Genomic DNA, 20,739 nt, shown 5'->3' with positions numbered 1-20,739 from the left:
GCACACCTGTATACAAGTAAATAAAACTTTTCTCTCTCTCATTTAATAAAAAACATGGTAGAGCGCATTCAGTTAAGTTTGCACACTTTAATTCTGAGCAAGGCGTCATTCCACTGTACCTCTGTGGCCACTTCTCATTCTCTTCCTGGGCTATCCTCCTCTACTAAACTTCAAAATGCTGGGCCTGAGCCCTTTTTTCTTAATCTCTGTCAGTGGTTCTCAACTTCCACAGCTAAGTGGAATCACCTCAGATTCGTCCAAGGCAGCAAATCAGATCAAGTAAACAGAAAAAGAAATTTCTTAGGTGGACCACAGCATTAGCATTTTTTAATCATTCAGTGATTCCAATGTGCAACCAAGATGAGAACACTGTTCTATGCTCTCTTCCCAGACCAGGGATCACATGCTCAAAAGCCTACAGTCAGAGAAATAAATGAGCAAAGTGGGCCAGGCATAATTTTAGGGAGTGGTGGGCTCTGTAGTGAAATAGAAGAGCTGCGATCATCTGTGACTTAGCTCCAATTATTGCTGCCATATTGGAAAACCAACTCAGTAGTGCTACATTTTCTCATTTTTAAAGAGAAACCCCAAATCTGGATTTTTCATGAGAAATCTTCAGATTTTAAAATATTGGCAACTAATTCAAAATTAAACAATAACAAAACCACTGTATGGGCAAAACATCTGTGAGTCAGATTCAGCTGTAGGCTACTGCTTTGCAACCACTGCCCTAGATAATTTCATCCACAGCCTTTAATTTACACCTAAAAATTCGTGCCTCCAGTTTAGCCCTCTGCTCTTGGCTCTGAATTAGAATTGTCAAATGCTTATGTGACCTCTCACTTGAAAATCTCAGCAGTCCCAATGTAAACTGTGATTTAAACTCATCTCAAAACTATTTATCCTTAAATGTTCTTTACTTCAGGTAACACCACCACCATTCACTGGTTGGGCAAGCTAGAACCCTGGGAGTCATCTTAGGATCTCATTTCTCCCTCTCAACCCTTGTACCATATCAACCACCAAATCCTATCAATTACGCCTCCTAAATATATCTCATGAATATATGTACTTCTCTCCATCTCCAATACGACCATTCTTTTCTCTCAGCCACCACCTTTTCTCTCCTATGTTATCCACAGTAACCTTAATTAGGGGCAGCTGTCTCCCACACTCAATCTTGTTTCCTTCCAAAGCATTCTAATATGACCAGAATATTTTATAATCACAAATAATTACAAATATATACACATATACACGCATTACATAAATATATACTTATGTAAATATATGTGTTTGTGTGTTTATTTCACCCAACAATTCCATTTCTAGGAATTTACCCTATAAATATATTTATTCACATATGAAACAGCATATTCGTAGCACTGTTTACGGTAAATTACTGGAAACAATCTAAATGTCTGTCAGTGGGGGAATGGTTAAATAATCTATGGTATATCCATACAGTGAAATACTGTACAGTCATTCAAAAAAATAAGGAAACTATATACTGAAGTGGAAAGATTCCCAAGACATTTTTAAGAAAACAGAGTGTACAGTATGCTACCATTTGTGTAAAACAGTAAGAGGAAAGATATGCATTTCCTTGAATGCCCACAAAAAATGTCTACAATGATATACAAAACTAGTATCAGTGGTTATTCCTTTGGAAGACAGGGAAAATGGTAGCTGGGGGAGGGAGCAGAACCCACCAAAAATGCTCTGATTTGCTTGGAGGAGGGCCCAGGCGTCGGTCTTAAGTTCTGGTGGTTCTGATGAGAGTGTTGGACTGAGAACCACTGCTTAGTGGACAGCCTTTGCCTATTTTCCTAGCTTCATTTTGTGTCATCACTCTCCGTGTTCCTGGCTTCTGGGTTCCCAAAAGCGGCCCTGTTCCTTTCTTCCTCAAGGTATTCACATCTGTTCCTTCTGCCCGGAATATTGTTCCCGTGAGCTTCACCTAGTAACTCCTGTTAATCCTTCACCGTCCACCTCAAAGGTCACTTCCCCATGGAAACTTTCCCCAGTTTCCAAACTACATCAGGACATCTGTTTTATGCACTCAGAGCTGCCTGTACTTCTCCCAGAAATTAACACAATCGTAATGAGATAAATGTATATTTATGCATGTATACATCTGTCACCCTCCTTAGACTATAAGGTCCAGGCATGCAAAGTTGTTTTTACTAATCTATTTCCATACCTAATCTAGTGTCCAGTTGGCAAAACAGGCCTTCAGAAATCTGTTAAATAAATAACTGTTCCCGCCCTCAAGCTTAGTATAGTAAACACCTAAGCAAATGAGGACAATGCTGCGTCACTAGTGTTAAGGCAGCAGTCTGCTCACAACAGTGGTTCTTAACTAAGGGTGATTTTGGTCCTCCTGGGGGACATTTGCGATGTCTGTAAGCATTTTTGATGTTCACAACTGTGTGTGTGGAGTGCTACTGGTATCTATTCCTCAGTAAAGGTTAGAAATGCTGCTAAACATCCTACGCTGCACATGATAGCCCTCCACAACTAGAAATTACCTGGCCTAAAATGTCAACAGAACTACAAATGAGAAACTCTGACTCAGAGGACGATAACACTCAAAAGAGCTGTCAATTGCACTTCTGAGGGTGGTGATTTTTAAATATCTGTTTTCTTTTTGGGGGATGGGGGGTGTCAAGCAAAGCTTCAGGGCAGAGGTGAAGCTTCAGCTGTGTGTTTGAAAGGTAACAGGGGCCAGATCAGTGGGGACTATGTTTGTCAGGAGCAAGGAGGAGTCTCTGAAGAGTTTAAAAGCAAAGTTATGATTTGAACAGGTGCCCCCAAGTACCCTATACTCCAAAATTATTCATTTCCTTTTTTCCTTTCTCGCTGAAACAAAACTTCCATTCTCTCAGAGTAGCTGGTTTCAGCTGAACATTAAGGCCAAATTAATTCAGCCCAAGATAAAGTCAGATAGGCCCTTCACTCTCCAGAATGTTAAGCTACATTTTAAAATATGCAAATACTTATGAGTACAAATAAATCTTTAACTGCTCAATGTTCAGGTTGTCAGTGCATAAAGCTATTTTTGAACTCAACAGCCAGATTGGCCCCAGTAACACTTTCCCAAAGCTTTGTTTTTTAAAAACCTTTTTGATCTGTTTCCCCGTTCTCCTAGAAATCTCCTAGATTTCTGAGCTCCTAGATTGTATAAAAGATCTAAGTTTTTTTCCACAAGTATCTCATGCCATTAAGTTCTTCTGCCAGAGGTGATAAAAGGGCCATTTGGATGCAATAAATGTAAATAAATTGTGTGTGTAAATTAGCAGTGGCTTAGAAAATTTTTAAAAGGCTTTCATGGACTACTGAAAGAAACTGAGATAATTTTTAACATACCACCAAGAAAAAAAAACAACAGTTTTACTACAACACAAGCCGGCTGCCTACTGAACTGGACGCCCATGCTCTGACCTAGTATGGCAATTCTTAGGGTCTAGGCGCTGGGTTCTGTTTACAAGAAACTAAGGCCTGAGACTAAGGAAGAACAAAGAAAAATGCCTGGCACCAAAGGTGTGGGGGATGTTTTGTACATAAATGAAGATTTGAGGAGGAATACTTCCTCAGATGTTGGAAGGAATTACTCTTTTTTTGCTTACGTGTTAAGAATTTAATGTTTTCAGGCCATTTCCTAATTAGAAAATACCTTATAATTTACAAACAATAATTTGTCTTCCCCTACATTTGCTGACCACCAAGACTGGATAAAATTTCCTTAAGCTTTACCAGAGTGGGAGGACTGGGAATAACGGGAGCACAACAGAGTTCGGATGCAACATCAACTCCAAGCCCGGCCAGCTGGTTTCCATCGAGAGGTCCCCCAGGAGAACGCCCCTCCGCGGCGGCGGCGGCCAGGTCGGCGCGGGAGAGACCCACCGAGGCGCTCCAGCGCGGCCGCGGTGCAGGACCAGGGGCCGCCCGGCCTCCGTTTACCTTTGTTTCAGGTACCCCGGCTCCTGGCGGGCCGGGAATCCCGTCCGCGGCCCGGAGCTGGTGACACATCCTTCTTTGGCCAAGTCGGGCCGAGGTTGGGCAGGGGGCGGGGAAGGAAAAGAAAGCCTCAGCGCCTAACGACGTGACTCTCAGTTCTTCCAAAACGCTGGCATTTGTTTCTCTGCCAGGCTTTCCTGTTAACAAGTTCCCGAGGGCTGTGCGGGCGAACTGGCCCAGGAGCCCTGAAAAGTGGGAGGGCCCAGGCCGCCCCCGCCTACCCTCCTCCGCGGGCGCCCCTGGGGCAGGCAATTTCCACACCTCCCTGGTGCCGTGTCCCGGGACCGGCCGGCCGCGCCGAGGCAACGCACCGCACCGCACCGCACCGACTGGAATTCCGACTTCCACAGCCCAATCAGCTCCGTGTGGCCCCTCTGGCCAGGCCGGTCCCCGCCCCCAGGTCCCGGCCCCGCCCGCCCCGGCCTCCGCGCGCCGCCCCGAGCCTCGCCACCCCCTCGGGCCGGGACGAGGGAGCTGAAGGCTCCAGGCCGTGCGGCCAGTGTTCCTTTGCCTACCTCGTTGCCCGCGGCTCCTCCTCCGGCGGCTCAGCTCGCGGGCAGCGCTTGCCTCCAAGCCTCCCCGCGGCGCGGACTCTCGGGCTACGAATGCGGCGCGTGAAGAGCGGAGGCCCGAGCGCGCCCCGCCCAGCCACCCGCAGGCCCCTACCTCCTTCTCCTCCTCCTCCTCCTCCTCCTCGGCCCCACCCTCGGCGGCCGGCCCGCCCGGAGCCCCGCCCACGCGCCAGGCCCCGCCCACTCTCCGGCCCCGCCCCCAGCCTACGCCCCGCCCCTCTGGCCAAGGCAGGAAGGGGGCCTCCAGGGGCGCCGCGAGAGCCGCTGTGGCCTCGGCGAGGGCAGTCTCCTGTATGGCGGCGCCGCGGGGATGCGATTCGTGGTGGTCGCTGCTGTTTGACAGATTCGAGTCTCTTGCTCGGATTTATTACTGTTATTGTCATCGTCAATATTGTCATCGTTGTTATTGTTATCGTCATTAGTTGTGTTGCCCTCTTCAAGGGGCCTTCAAGGAGGCCCCTTGAGGGCAGCGCGCTGCTGGCCAGACATTCCCTGGCGCTCCTGTCTTCCCACAGTCCTGCACCTGCGCCACATTTCACTCAGCCCAAGAAGTTGTGTGAATTTTAAAAGAAGTGATACTTATTTTTAACTGTTATTGTTAACTGTTACTGTTAAATAAAACACAAATATAGACAGCCATATAAAACCAATGTACAGCTTAATGGATTATTCCGATACACACACCCTTATAACCACTCGCCAGATTTATTAATAACACCGTGTAATATGGTCTGCTCTGAAACAGAACCTCATTAATAGCTGGAAGGACATAGCCTGGAAGGGCCTCCCAAAATTGCCCTCCTTCTAACTGCCACAGTACTCAAATGTGACAGGTCCATAATCATGCCCTCTCCAAGAATATATTTGTAAAATGGAAATTTCTCCAGAATTAGGAACCTCCAATTGAGTATCTTCGTAAAAATCTTGATAAAATGATAAATCTATAAATATATAAGCATATAAATAACAATAAATAAGTCAATCAGTTGGGTTGAATACCATGAGTAAGGAGCATGGGGGTGGGGGATGGGAGGTATGTAAAGACTTAAAAGGATTAGGTGGGCTGTGAGGACAGGTCCTGGGCACCTGGGTTGTTCTCACTGTCTCCCCAGCACCTAGCATAGCACCAAGCATATACTAGGTGCCATATGTGTGTGTGTATATATGTGCATTGTACATATATGCACATATATGTGTGTGTGTGTGTATAGCACAAGGAAAGAAAAAATTATGTAAGATAACCCCAAACAAGCTTTACATACTGAAATTTCACCCAAGGTCAATCCTCCCAGTAGCTAAAGTGTGCTCTGTGAGATGCCTTGATGCCCTAGAGAGAAAGAGACCATTTTACTTTCAACTTTCTACTGCTTTTCCATTTCAAAAGCCCTTTCACATGCATATGGTATCTTATTTGAGACTGAGAGCAACTCTGTGAAAAATGCAGGGCAGGATAGGACTCTGCAAAGGTCACAGTGCAATGCATATCAGTAAGAAGGAAAAGTACACAATGTACCATAAAACAATGTTAAAACTGCTGACCCTGGCAACCTGGATTCTTGGTTTGTCTCAACAGTTTTATTGCCAATGTTTTTACATTAGGGCTCCTTTGGCCCTTTTGCCATGCATTTATACACATTATAACTTGAATGTATAAAGGACACAATACGTGACTGGAAATTTGATTCAATACAATAGAGTTAGTCTCTCTGTCATGAGGACCATGGTGAATTGGGGCTAGAGAGTTGCCAATTCACCACAATGTATTGAGTACTCAGACTGTACTAGGTGGTAGGAATACAAATGATATAAAATAAAGAAGATACAGGGGCTGGGCGTGGTGGCTCACGCTTGAAATCCCAGCACTTTGGGAGGCCAAGGAGGGTGGATCACCTGAGGCCAGGAGTTTGAGACCAGCCTGGTAAACATGGTGAAAACCCATCTCTACTAAAAATACAAAAATTAGCCAGGCGTGGTGGCACGCGTCTGTAATCCCAGCTACTCAGAAGGCTGAGGCGGGAGAATCACTTGAACCCGGGAGGTGGAGGTTGCAGTGAGCCGAGATCTCTCCATTGCACTCCAGCCTGGGTGATCAGAGTGAAACTCTGTCAATCTTTGTTCTCAAGGAGCTTATGGCCAAGTAAGGGAGAAAGATTTGAAAATAAATGTTTAAATTACATGACGGTAGGGGAGCAGTCATGAGCACAATTAATTCTATGAGGTATAGGAAGAGAGTAGGGCAAGTCTTATTAGACAAGAAAACATCTGAAATTTTTTTTAGTATAAAAATATCAAATATTGAAAACAGAGACAGAATAATATAATTAACTACTATGCACCCATTACTTGGCTTCAACAATTATCCCATGACCAATTTGTTCCATCTGTACCCTCACCTTTTCTTTCCCTCCTTGGATTATTTTAAGGCAAATCACATGGAGCATTATTATTTCATCCATAAATATTTCACTATGCATCTCTAAATGATAAGGTCTATTTTTAAAAACAACCACAAAATCATTAAATTGTCTTTTAAAGTAATAATTTATTAACATCTAGACAGTGTTCAAAATTTCCCAATTTTCTCATAAATGTTTCATGTAGTTTACTTCTTCCAGTCATGATCCAAACAAGTTCCTCACAATGCATTTGGTTAAAATGTCTTACACCTTTTTCTTTCCTTGTACTTTTATATTGAAGAAATAGATTGTTATAAGGAGTTTCCCACATTCTGCATTTTGCTGATTGCTGTGATGTTCTTTAACATGTGCCTCTAACCTTGTATTTCCCATAAAGGATAGTTACTAGAGGCTTGATCAATTTAGAAAAGTATAACCCATAATGAATAGAAAAATCAACAAATCAAAAATAGACCAGAACTATCACAGATGTTAGAATTAGCAGAGAAAGACATTAAAACAATTACTATGGCTGGGCATGGTGGCTCAAACCTGTAATCCCAGCGCTTTGTGGGGCTAATATGGGTGGATTACCCGAGGTCAGGAGTTTGAGACCAGCTTGACCAACATGGTGAAGCCCCGTCTCTACTAAAAAATACAAAAAAATTAGCCGGCCATGGTGGCAGGCGCCTATAATCCCAGCTACTTGGGAGGCTAAGGCAGAAGAATCGCTTGAACCCGGGAGGCAGAGGTTGTGGTGAGCCGAGATCGTGCCACTGCACTCCAGCCTGGGCAACAGAGTGGCTCCATCTCAAACAAAAACAAAAACAAACAAACAAACAAACAAAACCACAATTACTATAACTATATTCCAAATGCCAAAAAAGTTAAGTACATATTAAAAAGGGAAGATGTAAAAAAGACACAAATTGTATTTCTATAGTTGAAGACTATAATGTCTAGAATAAAAATACATTAGATTGGATTAATGGCAAATTAGACATTACCAAAGAAAAGATTAGTCACATCAATAGAAATTATCCAAAATGAAACACACAGAAAGAGAAATGTTAATGAAAAGAGCATCAGTGAGCTAAAGAGCAACTACAAGTGGCCTAATATGTGGAATCTCCAAAGGAGAGGAGTGAAGACAAAAAGTATCTGAAGAAATACTAGCCAAAAGTTTCCAAAATTTATGAAAACTATATACTCACAGATCTAAGAAGTGCAACAGACTTCCAATTTCCAGTACAGCAGACGATAGACTTACATCCAACCATATCAATAGTCATATTAAATGTGAGACTTCTGGTTCCAAAATGGCAGCATAGAAGCAAGCCGGCTCCCCCTTTTCCCCAGAAAAAGAAGACCAAACCCAAATACACAACACCAAGATTACCATCAATAATATCCCAAAACTGAAATATGAGGATGAGACAGTTTGCAGGGTCACAAAGAAGTGAAAAAGCTCCAAGCAGATGGTAAGAGAATGACTTCCATGTTCAGGATGCCCCTCCCCCTATTCTGTCCAGCACCAAGCATTCAAAAAGTTTCCTCCTAAATCAGTTTATACACTGGAAAAAGTGAGATCACGGTGGACAACCAGCTCCCCACCATCTTGGGATCCTTGGCAGGAGACTTGTCCCTGTCTTAGCCCACAGAAACATTGCAAGTCCCTTAAGGGAGAAATATCCCGGAGGATGGGCAAAGGCAAATCGAGAGGCAGAACTACCATCCCCAGAACTGGAAACTGCTCTGTAACTGAGCCAAAGGAGACATTAAATCAGAGTGTCTGTTCAGCAGCAACATGATGTAGGAGGTACATTCTGCAGATACTTTGGGCACAAACCCCTAGCCAGCCTTCCCACATTGCTGGGATATCCCAGGATACCTTCCATTTACTAGAGCTGAGGTGGACCTGGGCTTAAGACACCACCTAGAGCTGAAAAGGAGGCAGAAATGTAGCAGTGAAGAATCTTTAAGCAAATATATTCAATAAAACCCAAAACAAGTCAGACAGAGAAGACTGGAATAAACTACCCTTTAGTGCAAAGACATGGATATACATCACAAGAAACAATAGCAAACAGGGAACCACAAACTCCCCAAATGGGCAAAGCAAGGGACCAGTAACTGACTTTAATGAGATGGCAATATGTGACCTCTATGACCAATAGTTCAAAACAGCAATTTTGGCTGGGCATGGTGGCTCATGCCTATAATCTCAGCACATTGTGAGGCTGAAGCAAGAGGTTCACTTGAGGCCAGGAGTTTGAGACCAGCCTGGGCAACATAGCAAGATTCCATCTCCACAAATAAAAAATTAAAAAACCAATAGCTGGGTATAATGGTGCACATCTCCAGTTCCAGCTACTCAGGAGGCTGGGGTGGGAGGATCACTTGAGTCCAGGAGTTCGAGGCTGCAGTGAACTATGCTGGCACCACTGCACTCCAGCCTGGGTGACAGAGCGAGACCCTGTGTCAAAAATAAAAAAAATATAAAAAAGCAAAAATAGAAAAAAATCCTCCAAAATAGCACTTTTAAGGAAACTCAGTGATCTCCAAGATAACACAGAAAACCATTTCAGAAATTTATCAGAGAAATTTAACAAAAATATTGAAGTAATTAAAACAATCCCATAGATGTTTTGGAAGTGAGAAATACACTTGCTGTACTAAAAATTTCATTAGAGACCCTCAAGAGCAGAACGGATCAAGCAGGGGAAGAATCAGTCAGCTTGAAGACAGGCTATGTGAACATATGCAATCAGAAGAGAAAAAAGAATGAAAATAAATGAAGACCACCTACAAGATACAGAAGTTTACCTCAAAAGACCAAATCTAAAAATTATTGGTGTTCAAGAGAGAGTTGAACAAGGGGTAGAAAGCTTATCCAAAGAAATAATAATAGAAAACTTTCCAAAACATGAGAAAGAATAAATGTTGAGGTACAAGAAGATCAGAGAACACCAAACAGATCTAATACAAAGAACACTACCCCAAAGCATATAGTAATCAAACTCTCAAAGGCCGAGGACAAAGAGAGGATCCTAAAAGCAGCAAGAGAAAACAGGCAAATAACATATAAAGGAACTCCAGTTTGTCTGGCAACAGACTTCTTAATGCAAACCATACAGGCCAAGATGGAATGGAATGACATTTTCAAAGTGCTAAAAGAAAAAAACCCTTTCATGCAAGAATACTGTATCCAGCAAAGTTATCCTTTAACTGTGAAGAAGAGATAAAGTCTTTCCCAGAAAAACAAAAACTGAGAGAATTCACCACCACTAGAGCCATCTTACAAGAAATGCTAAAAGGAGTTCTTCAATCCGAAACAAAAAATACTAATATGCAAAAAGAAAACATTTGAAGCTATGAAACCCCTGGGTAAAATTAAGTACACAGACAAACCTAGAATACTTAAATACTATAATTGTAGTATGCAATTCACTCATAACTCTAGTATGAAGCCCCAAAGACAAATCTATTAAAAAAGAATAATAGTAACTAACCGCAGGCTGTTAAGAGATACATAATGTAAAACTATGTAAATTGAGACAACTAAAAGTCAAAATGTGGGAGGGATGGAGTTAACATGTAGAGTTATTTTTTATTTTTCCTTAATGTCTATTCTTTTATTTTTTATATAAGTTGTCATCTCTTTAAAATAACTTGTTATATCTATAAGATTTTTTTTAAGCCTCATGATAACCACCATATGCAAAACCTGTAATACAGTCACTAAAAATAGCAATTGAAGATGGCAGCAGCAATGATTTACCAGCTGTGGGCTGGAGCAGCATAGTGGTGTTGAGCCTGCCCTCAGGTGCCAGGTGTTTTGGGGTATGGGCCTTGCCAACTGGAGAGAAGGTCATGCATGCCAGCCAGGTTGATGATAATAAAGACTCCAGAAAAATTCAGTTTGTGGGTTGTCAGAAAGAGGTGAATGTAAACTTTGCCACTGATTTGATGACAGAGCAACCTATGAGTGAAGTAGAGAGTTGGATAATATTGTGTAACTGGTTGGGGAGCTCTTGGCTACCCAAAAGTGTGTGTAAACATAGACAAAGAAACAAAAACTGGGATATGTGGTTATTGTGGACTATAGTTGAAAAAACACCATCATTAGAATGAATTGTGAACCCATGGTCCTCTGAAGTATGTGGATGAGCATTTTGATTTTGAAAATAAAGCATGTGAAATCACTAGTTCTGTATAAAGGATATTCCTATTGCTAAATAAAGGGTAATGCTATCAAGAAAAAAAGACACAATGAATTAAAACATACTACCAGAGAAAATCACTTAACCACAAAGGAGGACAATAAGAACAAGAAAGGAAAAGGGGAGTTACAAAACCTGAAAATAAGCAACAAAATGGCAGTAGTTAAGTAATTTCTTATGAATAATAACACTAAATGTGAATGAACTCAGTCCTCCAATTAAAAGGAATACAGTGGCTGAATGGATAAAGAAACAAGACCCATCTATATGCTGCCTACGAGAAACCCATTTCACCTATAAAGATGCATACAAACTGAAAGTGAAGGGGTGGTAAAAGTCATTCTGTGAAACTGGAAATCGGAAAACAGTAGCAGTAGTTATATTTATGTTGGATAAAATAGACTACAAATTAAAGACTGTAAAGAGAGACAAAGAAAGTCATTATATAATGATAAAGGGATCAATTCAGCCAAGGATAAAACAATTATAAATATTTATGCACCCAAAACTAGAGCTTCCAAGTATACAAAGCAAACATTAATAGATCTAAAAGGGAGAGATAGACTGCCATACAATAATAGTAGGGATTTTTAACTGGACAGATTACCTAGACAGAAAATCAACAAAGAAACATCAGAGTTAAACTACACACTAGACCTAATAGGCCTGACATTTACAAAACATTTTACCCAAATGATGAAGAAAACATACTTTTTTCATCAGCACATGGAACATTCTCTGGAATAGATCATATCTTAGGCCACACAAAACAAGTCTGAACAAATTCAAAAAACTAAAAACCATATCAAGTATTTTTTCCTCACCACAATGGAATAAAACTAGAAATCAATATCAAGCAAAACCACAGAAACTACACAAACACATGGAAATTAACATGCTCTTGAATGACCAATGGGTCAATGAAGAAATAAGAAGAAAAAATTAAAATTTCTTGAAACAAACGAAAATGGAAACACAACATTCCAAAATCTATGGAATACAGCAAATGTAGTAGGAAGAGGGAAGTTTATAACAATAAATACCTACATCAAAAAAAGTAAAAATATTTCAAATAAACAATCTAATGATGTACCTCAAGGAATTAGAAAAGCAAGAATGTTGCGGGAAGTCAGGGACGCCAAACAGAGGAGCTGGCTGAAGCCACTGCAGAAGAACATAAATTGTGAAGATTTCATGGACATTTATCAATTCCCAAAATTAATACTTTTATAATTTCTTACGCCTGTCTTCACTGCAGTCTCTGAACATAAATTGTGATGATTTCATGGACATTTATCTCTTCCCCAATTAATACTCTTATAATTTCTTATACCTGTCTTTAATCTCTTAATCACGTTATCTTTGTAAGGTGAGAATGTATGTCACCTCAGGACCCTGTGATGATTGTGTTAACTGTACAAATTGTTTGTAAAACGTGTGTTTGAACAACATGAAATCAGTGCACCCTGAAAAAGAGCAGAATAACAGCAATTTTCTGGGAACAAGGAAAGATAACCATAAGGTCTGACTGCCTGCGGGGTCGGGCAGAATGTAGCCATATTTTTCTTCTTGCAGAGAGCCTATAAACGGATGTGTGAGTAGAAGAAATACCGCTGAATTCTTTTCCCAGCAAGGAATATTAATAATTAATACCCTGGGAAAGGAAAGCATTCCCAGGGGTAGGTCTATAGACGGCCACTCTGGGAGTGTCTGTCTTATGCGGTTGAGATAAGGGATGAAATACACCCTGTTCTCCTGCAGTGCCCTCAGGCTTACTAGGATTGGGAAATTCCAGCCTGGTAAATTCTAGTTAGACCAGCTGTCTGCTCTCGAACCCTGTTTCCTGTTAAGATGTTTATCAAGACAATGCATGCCCAGCGGGATGTGGACCCTCATCAGTAATTCTAATTTCACCCTTGCCTTGTGATATTGCTATTCCCTTTGCCTTGTGATCTTGTATTGCCCTTTGAAGCATGTGATCTCTGTGACCCACTCCCTATTCGTACACCCCCTCGCCTTTCAAAATCCCTAATAAAAACTTGCTGGTTTTGTGGCTTGAGGTCGCCATCATGGTCCTACCAATATATGATGGCACCCCTGGTGGCCCAGCCGTAAAATTCTTCTCTTTGTACTCTTTCTCTTTATTTCTCAGACTGGTCGACACTTAGGGAAAAATAGAAAAGAACCTACATTGAAATATTGGGGGCTGGTTCCCCTGATACAAGAACAAACCAAATCCCAAATTAGTATAAGGAAAGACATAATAAAGATGAAAGCAGAAAATAATGAAATTGAGACTAAAAAATACAGAAGATCAATGAAACAAAAAATTGTTTTTTAGAATGATAAACAAAATTGATAAACTTTAGCTAGACTAAGAAAAAAAGAGAAAAGACGGAAATAAATAAAAGAAATGAAAAAGGAGACATAACAACACAGAAATACAAAGAATCATCATAGACTATTTTGAAAAACAATACAGCAACAAATTGGAAAACCTAGAAGAAATGGATAAATTCCTAGACACATACAACCTACCAAGATTGAACCATGAAGAAATAGAAAACCACAGAAAACCAAACACTGCATGTTCCCACTTATAAGTGGGAGCTGAATGATGAGAAAACATGGACACAAGGAGGAGGAACAAGACATACTGGGACCTGTAAGTGGTGGGGGTAGGGGGTGAGGGGATAGACAGCATCAGAAAGAATAGCTAATAGATGCTAGACTTAATACCTGGGTGATGGGATGATTTGTGGAGCAAACCATCATGGTACATATTTACCTATGTAGCAAACCTGCACATCCTACACGTGTAACCCCTGAATTTAAAATAAAAGTTGAAGAAAAAAAAAGAAATAAAAAACCTAAAAAAAAACCAATAATGAGTAATGAGATCAAAATTGTAGTAAAAAGTCTCCCATCAAAGAAAATCCAAGGATCTGATGATTTCATTGCTGGATTCTATCAAACATTTAAAAACTAGTACCAATTATATTCAAAATCTTAAAAAATTGAAGATAAGGGGATACTTCCAAACTAATTATATGAGGCCAGCATTCACCTGATATTAAAACCAGACAAGGACACAGCACAAAAGAAAACTATAGGTAAATGTCACTGATGAACATAGAGTCAAAAGTCCTCAACAAAATACAAGCAAACCAAATTCAACAGCACATTGAAAAGATCATTCACCATAATCAAGTGGGATTCATCCTAGAGATGCAAGGACGTGTCAACATACGTAATCAACAAACATGATACATCACATTAACAGACCAAGAACAAAAACTATATGATTATTTTAGTAGCATTCGGTAAAGTCCCATATCCCTTTATGATAAAAATCCTTATGGAACTGGTATTGAAGAACTATACCTCAGAATAATAAAGGCCAAATTTGACAAACCCATAGTAACATAGTACTGATGAGGAAAAATTAAAAGCCTCTTGTCTAAGATCTGGAACTGGACAAGGATGTCCACTTCCACTACTTTTATTCAACATAATACTGGAAATCTTAGTGAGAGCAATTGAGCAAGAGAAAGAAATAAATGGCATTCAAATTGTAAAGAAATAAGTCAAATTAGCCTTGTTCACAGATGACATGCTATTGTATACAAAAAAACCCTAAAAGCTCCACCAAAAAACTGTTAGAACTGATAAGCAAATTCAGTAAAGTTGCAGGATACAAAATCAATATACAAAATTAGTAGTGTTTATATTTTCCAGCAGAAAACAATCTGAAAAAGAAATCAAGAAAACAATCCTATAAGTGCTTGAAGTGAAGGATACCCCATTTACCCTGATGTGATTAGTACACATTGTATGCCTACATCAAAATATATCATATACCCCATAAATATATATACCATGTACCCATAAAAATTAAAAATAAAAAATTATATATATATAGACAATGTATATCAGAAAAAAAGAAAACAATCCTACTTATAATCGTTACAAAGAATACAAAATACCTAGAAATCAATTTAACCAAATATGAAAGATCTATACAAGGAAAACTATAAAACACTGATGAAAGAAATTGGAGAGGACACACCAAAGAAAAGAGAAAGATATTCCATGCTCATGGATTGGAAAAATTAGTATTGTGAAAACAACCATACTACTCAAAGCAATTTACAGATTCAATGCAATCCCTGTCAAAATACCAATGAGATTCTTCACAGAAATAGAAAAAACAATCCTAAAATTTATATGGAACCACAAAAGACACCAAACAACCAAAGCAATCTTGAGCAAATAGAACAAAGCTGGAGGCATTATACTAATGGACTTTAAAGTATACTACAAAGCTATAGTAACCAAATCAGCATGGTATTGGTGTAAAAACAGACACATAGACCATTGGAATGGAGTAGAGAATCCAGACATAAATCCACAAGTTTGTAGCCATCTCATAGTCAACAAAGGTACCAAGAACATATAATGGAGAAAGGACAATCTCTACAATAAATGGTACTGGGAAAACTGGATAACTATATTCCAAAGAATGAAACTATACCCCTATCTCTCACCATACACAAAAATCAAAATGATTAAAGACTTAAATCTAAGATCTGAAACTATGAAACTTCTAGAAGAAAACATAGGGGAAATGCTCCAGGATATTTGTCTGGACAAAAATTTTTTGTGTAAGACCTCAAAAGCACACTCAACTAAAGCAAATACAGACAAATGGGACTATATCAAGCTAAAAAGCTTCTGCACAGCAAGGGAAACCATCAATGAAGTGAAGAGATGACCCACAGAATGGGAGAAAATATTTGCAAACTGTCCATAGTAATAACAAGGGATAATAACCAGAATATATAAGGAGACAAGGGAGTAATAACCAGAATATACAAGGAAGTCATAACCAGAATATATAAGGAGACAAGGGAGTAATAACCAGAATATATAAGGAGCTCAAACAACTCAATAGCAAAAAACCCAAATAATCTGATCTAAAAATGGGCAAAAGATCTGAATGGATGTTTCTCAAAAGAAGACGTATAAATAGTCAACGGATATATGAAAAAATGCTCAATATCACTAATTATCAGAGAAATGCTAATTAAAGCCACCATGAGATATCATGTCACCTCAGTTAAAATGTTCTTTACCAAAAAGATAGGTAATAATAGATCCTGGCAAGTTTGTGGAGAAAGAGGAACCCTTATACACTGTTGGTGGGGATGTAAATTAGTACAGTCTTTATGGAAACAGTATGGAGGTTTTTCAAAAAACTAAAAATAGAACTACCACCTGTCCAGCAATTCCACTACTGAGTGTACATCCAAAAGAAAGGAAATCAATGTACCAAACAGTACCCTGCAGTACAATGTACCAAACAGTACTCAGGAGTACAACATGGTGAAACCCCATCTCTACTAAAAATACAAAAAATTAGCAGGGTGTGGTGGCACACACCTGCAATCCCAGCTACTTGGGAGGCTGAGGCAGGAGAATCACTTGAACCCAGGAGGCGGTGGTTGCAGTGAGCCAAGATCAAACCATTGCACTCCCGCTTGGGCGACAAGAGCAAAATTCTGTCTCAAAAAAAAAAAAAAAAAGATAGGAGCCGGGGAAATAGACAAATCTATTATTATAGTTGTATATTTCAATACCCTGCTCCAAGTAATTGATAAAGCAAGTAGACAGAACATCAGCAAAGATATAGGAGACTGGAATAACACTCTCAAGCAACTTCACCTAATTAACATTTGTAGGACACTCCATGTAATAACATTATTCACATACTTTTCAAGTGCACAGGAAACATTTACCAAGATAGATCAGATTTAGTACTGTAAAACAAGTCTCAAATTTAAACGAATTCAAGTTATAAAAGTATGCTTTTTGACTACAGTGCAATTGTATTAGAAACCTATAACATGTCTAGAATTTAGTATATACCCTCCTCCCAACTCTAACTCCCAAACTTGCTCCTCCTCCATGTCCTTTTCTCAACTTAGGTCAAGGCCCCATTATCCATTCAGTCACTTAAGCCAGAAATTCTTAATTATCCTTTTCCTCATCTCTCTTAAGCAACAAATTACCACATTCTGCTGACTTTTCTTCCAAATCATTTCTCAAATCTCTTCCCAACTCTCTGCCTCGATTACTGCAGTCTCAGTTCAAGTCATTACCATCTCTCTTTATGGACCTGCACCAGCCACCTAACTGGTCCCTCTGCCTCTCATCTTCCCCTCCTTAAACTCATTTTCCACATGTAAGTGAGTGCAGTGAATAGTCTCTCACATTCTTACAGTCTCTGTTTCTCCGCATCTGTAGAACAGCTTTCCTGTATTTGGGGAATCTCTACTGTTAGGAGTCCTGACTCCCAAAGTGCAAACCAAAACTCATTTTCATCACCTCCTTTGCTGCTAGGGCAGGGTACATGACTTGGGCTTAGTCAGATGCACCACACAAGACTTTAAGACAAGTACGGAGTGAAGAAGCAGGACATTCACAACAGAATAAAATTGTTACATATATGTGCAAGATATTCCTAGAGATATTTTCCTGTAGGAGGGATTTATTTACTCTTTCTCTCTCTTTTCTCTCCTTCCTTCCTTCCTTCCTTTCTTCCTCCCTTCCTCCCTTCCTCCCTTTCTCTCTTTCTCTCTTTTTCTTTCTTTTCTCAGCTTTAAGAAGATATAATTCACATAACATGTAATTCATCCATTTAAAATGTAAAATGCAATGGTGGTTGGTATAGCCACAGAGTTATGTAATGATCATCAAAATCAATTTTAGAACATTTTCATCACCCCCAGAAGAAACTCTATACTCATTAAGCTACTCTTCATTTCCACCCATCCCCACTTCCAGCTGTAGGCAACCACTAACCTACTTTCTGTATTAACAAATATTCATATAAAAGAAGTCATATAATATATGCCTTTTTTGTCTCACTTCTTTTGTATAGGTAGCATAATGTTTTCAAGTTTCATCCATATTGTACTGATCCATTATCAGTAATTTATTCCTTCTTATTGCTATATAATGTTCTATGGCATAGCTACACAGCAGTTTGTTTATGCATTCGCCTGCTCATGGACATTTAGGTAACTTTCATTTTTTGGCTATTACAAATAAGACTGCTATGAACATTCATGTCCATTCTTTGTATGGACTTATGCTTTCATTTCTCTTGAGTATGTATCTAGTGGTCGAATTGCTGGGTCATGTGCTTTGCTTGAAGGTTTAAGGAGTTTTTTTTTTACTTTTAATTTTTATTATTTATTTATATATATTTATTATACTTTAAGTTCTAGGGCACATGTGCACAATGTGCAGGTTTGTTACATATGTATACATGTGCCATGTTGGTGTGTTGGAGATGTTTTCTTTTGTGAGAACCTGGATTGGGAAAAGTTGAACCTTTCATCATTTCATCATTTGAGTTTTTTAATGTATGAGGCAGGCTTTTGTACAGAGAGAGAGAGAAAAACCCCAAACACTTATAGCCACTTTTGCTTAATTAATGTTAAATTTATTAAAGACATCTGATTTTAAAATCTAGTTTTTATTAGGTGCTTAAGCTTAACTTTAAGCTGGTAAATTTTATTTATAAATATAGTATTCTGTTATAACTTAACAGTCACTTCTAAATAAGATAGATTAAATTCCCTAAACATTTATTATTAAGATGATGAAATTCTTAGATATTTCAAACTACAATTATAAATGTATCTGATTCTCTAAAGCACTTCAAGCACTCAACAAGCAAGCTTACAAATCTAATAAACCAATATTCCTAAGCACTTACATTCTATTTACGAACCTAATAACTCAAAAGTTGTAGATTTAATTCCTCAGATTCTCTGAAAAATTCAAACTCAATTTACAAACATAATCAATTCAACTTCAACACATCTTCAATTTAAATCCTCAATCTACCATCAATTATGTTCTTTTAAACATTTCAGATTAAAATCACAAGTCTAAATTCAATGTGTCAAATATCCCATCTGTCAAACAAAATACATGCGAATTGCCAAGATGGTTAAAAAATAGCTTATTCTTGAACTCAACACAAAAAATGTTAAATCTTGGGTTTGAGTAACTTCTTCACTCTTACTCAGAGCCTGCATAAGTTTGGCTTACGGAAAAAATTCAGCTAAAGTGAAGAATCATAAGTAATACTTCATACATAGTTTAACATTTTAAGTTAAATGTTTAGAATATATAAATGTTTAGTTTAGAACATTTAAATACACATTCTTTTGCCATACCCTTTCTTTGAGTATGAGTCTGTTAATCAGACTTCCAAGACACCTTCGTTGCATAAACTACTCCCATAGTGTATCCTCCGTAATTTCCAGTTTGGATTATGTTATAAGCCTCTGCAAAACAATGTAAATGTAAATTGATTTTAGGTTTTTATATTTCCTTGCAATCTTTCATAGTTGTCTCATCCACTTTTAGTTTAAAAAATGTTTTAGCAAGTTTCCATTAGCAAGTCTTTCCAAAGCATTTCTTCTAATTTTCTTTTTTTTTTTGGAGCAGGGGACAGTCTTGCTCTGTTGTTGCCCAGGCTGGAGTGCAGTGGTGTGATCTCGGCTCACCACAACCTCTGCCTCCTGGGTTCAAGCGATTCTCCTGCCTCAGCCTCCTGAGTAGCTGGGACACAGGTGGGTGCCAACATGCCCAGCTAATTTTTGTATTTTTAGTAGAGACAGGGTTTCGCTATGTTGGCCAGGCTGGTCTCAAACTCCTGACCTCATGATCCACCCACCTTGGCCTCCCAAAGTGCTAGGATTACAGGTGTGAGCCACCACGCCCAGCCTCTTCTAATTTTCATAGTAACAACTTTTTTCCTACACTTATATTTCATGGGATTATGTCATATTTAATCAAATTAGTAATTATAATAACAAAACTAATATCTGCAGGTTTGGGAACAAACACAACTTGGTAAGTGTTGTGTATGTGTATGTGATTCTTGGTATGTGTTGTGCTCAAGTGATGGGAGCAGAACACACCAGTATACTAGAGAGGGATCTACTAGCTGTAAGTACTCACCTGTATGTGCCCTGGGTGCCCGTTGGTATGTTTTACAGAAGGAATGGAGAATGTTGGTTAATTTAGTAATTGAGCTAGGTGGAGGTTGGCTTAAAAATCTTCCATTATTTTTCATGTTTAAAAAAATTGAGTTACGCGTTACATACAATAAAATATGCCCTTTTGAATGTGTAACCCTATGAGTTTTAAAAAACACTTGCAGTTATGTAATGACCACTACTACCCTGATCAAGATATGGAATGCCTCTGTCACCTCTCAAAATCCCCTTGTGCTACTCCTTTGTAGTCAATCCCTCCACCCCACCACACCCCCGGCTCCTGCAAATCACGTACCTCTGCATAATTCTCTGGAGATTCACCAAAGTTGTTGTGTGTGTTAGTTATTCCTTTCTATTGCCAAATAGAATTCTATATTGCAGATGTACAGCAGTTTGATGATTCACCTGTTGAAGGACCCCTTGGTTGTTTCTAGTTGGGGGTATTATG

The 20,739-nt window shown here is 39.2% G+C and overlaps 1 protein-coding gene and 1 pseudogene across 8 annotated transcripts in view, besides 4 other annotated features; one reads left to right on the top strand and one right to left on the bottom strand.

The window, feature by feature from the left end:
* Window positions 1–4,657, bottom strand: part of PPP2R3A (protein phosphatase 2 regulatory subunit B''alpha) — a 182,167-nt gene extending 177,510 nt beyond the window's left edge. For 4 of the 8 annotated variants that reach the window (XR_001740196.3, NM_002718.5, XM_017006787.3 and 1 more), the window contains exon 1: window positions 4,536–4,657. The gene's annotated coding sequence lies outside the window, so the exon portion shown is untranslated. Of the gene's footprint in view, window positions 1–3,756; window positions 4,388–4,535 lie in introns of those variants that run through there. The other 4 variants (XM_006713686.5, XM_047448510.1, XM_011512956.4 and 1 more) reach the window with 2 other exon arrangements.
* Window positions 4,181–4,460: a silencer, noted in NCBI's record as "silent region_14756". NCBI's record gives its function as "represses an Ori minimal core promoter by ATAC-STARR-seq in GM12878 lymphoblastoid cells {active_cell/tissue: GM12878}" and the evidence as "EXISTENCE:reporter gene assay evidence [ECO:0000049][PMID:35858748]".
* Window positions 4,181–5,083: a biological region, named in NCBI's record as "H3K27ac hESC enhancer GRCh37_chr3:135684144-135684962".
* Window positions 4,265–5,083: an enhancer, noted in NCBI's record as "H3K27ac hESC enhancer chr3:135684144-135684962 (GRCh37/hg19 assembly coordinates)". NCBI's record gives its function as "activates a minimal SCP1, AML or CMV promoter by ChIP-STARR-seq in naive H9 embryonic stem cells {active_cell/tissue: H9 hESC(naive)}" and the evidence as "EXISTENCE:reporter gene assay evidence [ECO:0000049][PMID:30033119]".
* Window positions 4,591–4,820: a silencer, noted in NCBI's record as "silent region_14755". NCBI's record gives its function as "represses an Ori minimal core promoter by ATAC-STARR-seq in GM12878 lymphoblastoid cells {active_cell/tissue: GM12878}" and the evidence as "EXISTENCE:reporter gene assay evidence [ECO:0000049][PMID:35858748]".
* NDUFS6P1 (NADH:ubiquinone oxidoreductase subunit S6 pseudogene 1) lies at window positions 10,795–11,110 on the top strand (annotated as a pseudogene).

The sequence above is a fragment of the Homo sapiens genome, chromosome 3, assembly GCF_000001405.40.
Source record: "Homo sapiens chromosome 3, GRCh38.p14 Primary Assembly".
Classification (NCBI taxonomy): Eukaryota; Metazoa; Chordata; class Mammalia; order Primates; family Hominidae; genus Homo; species Homo sapiens.
Note: the sequence above shows the minus strand (reverse complement) of the source record. Positions and strands in the feature narration are given on the sequence as shown.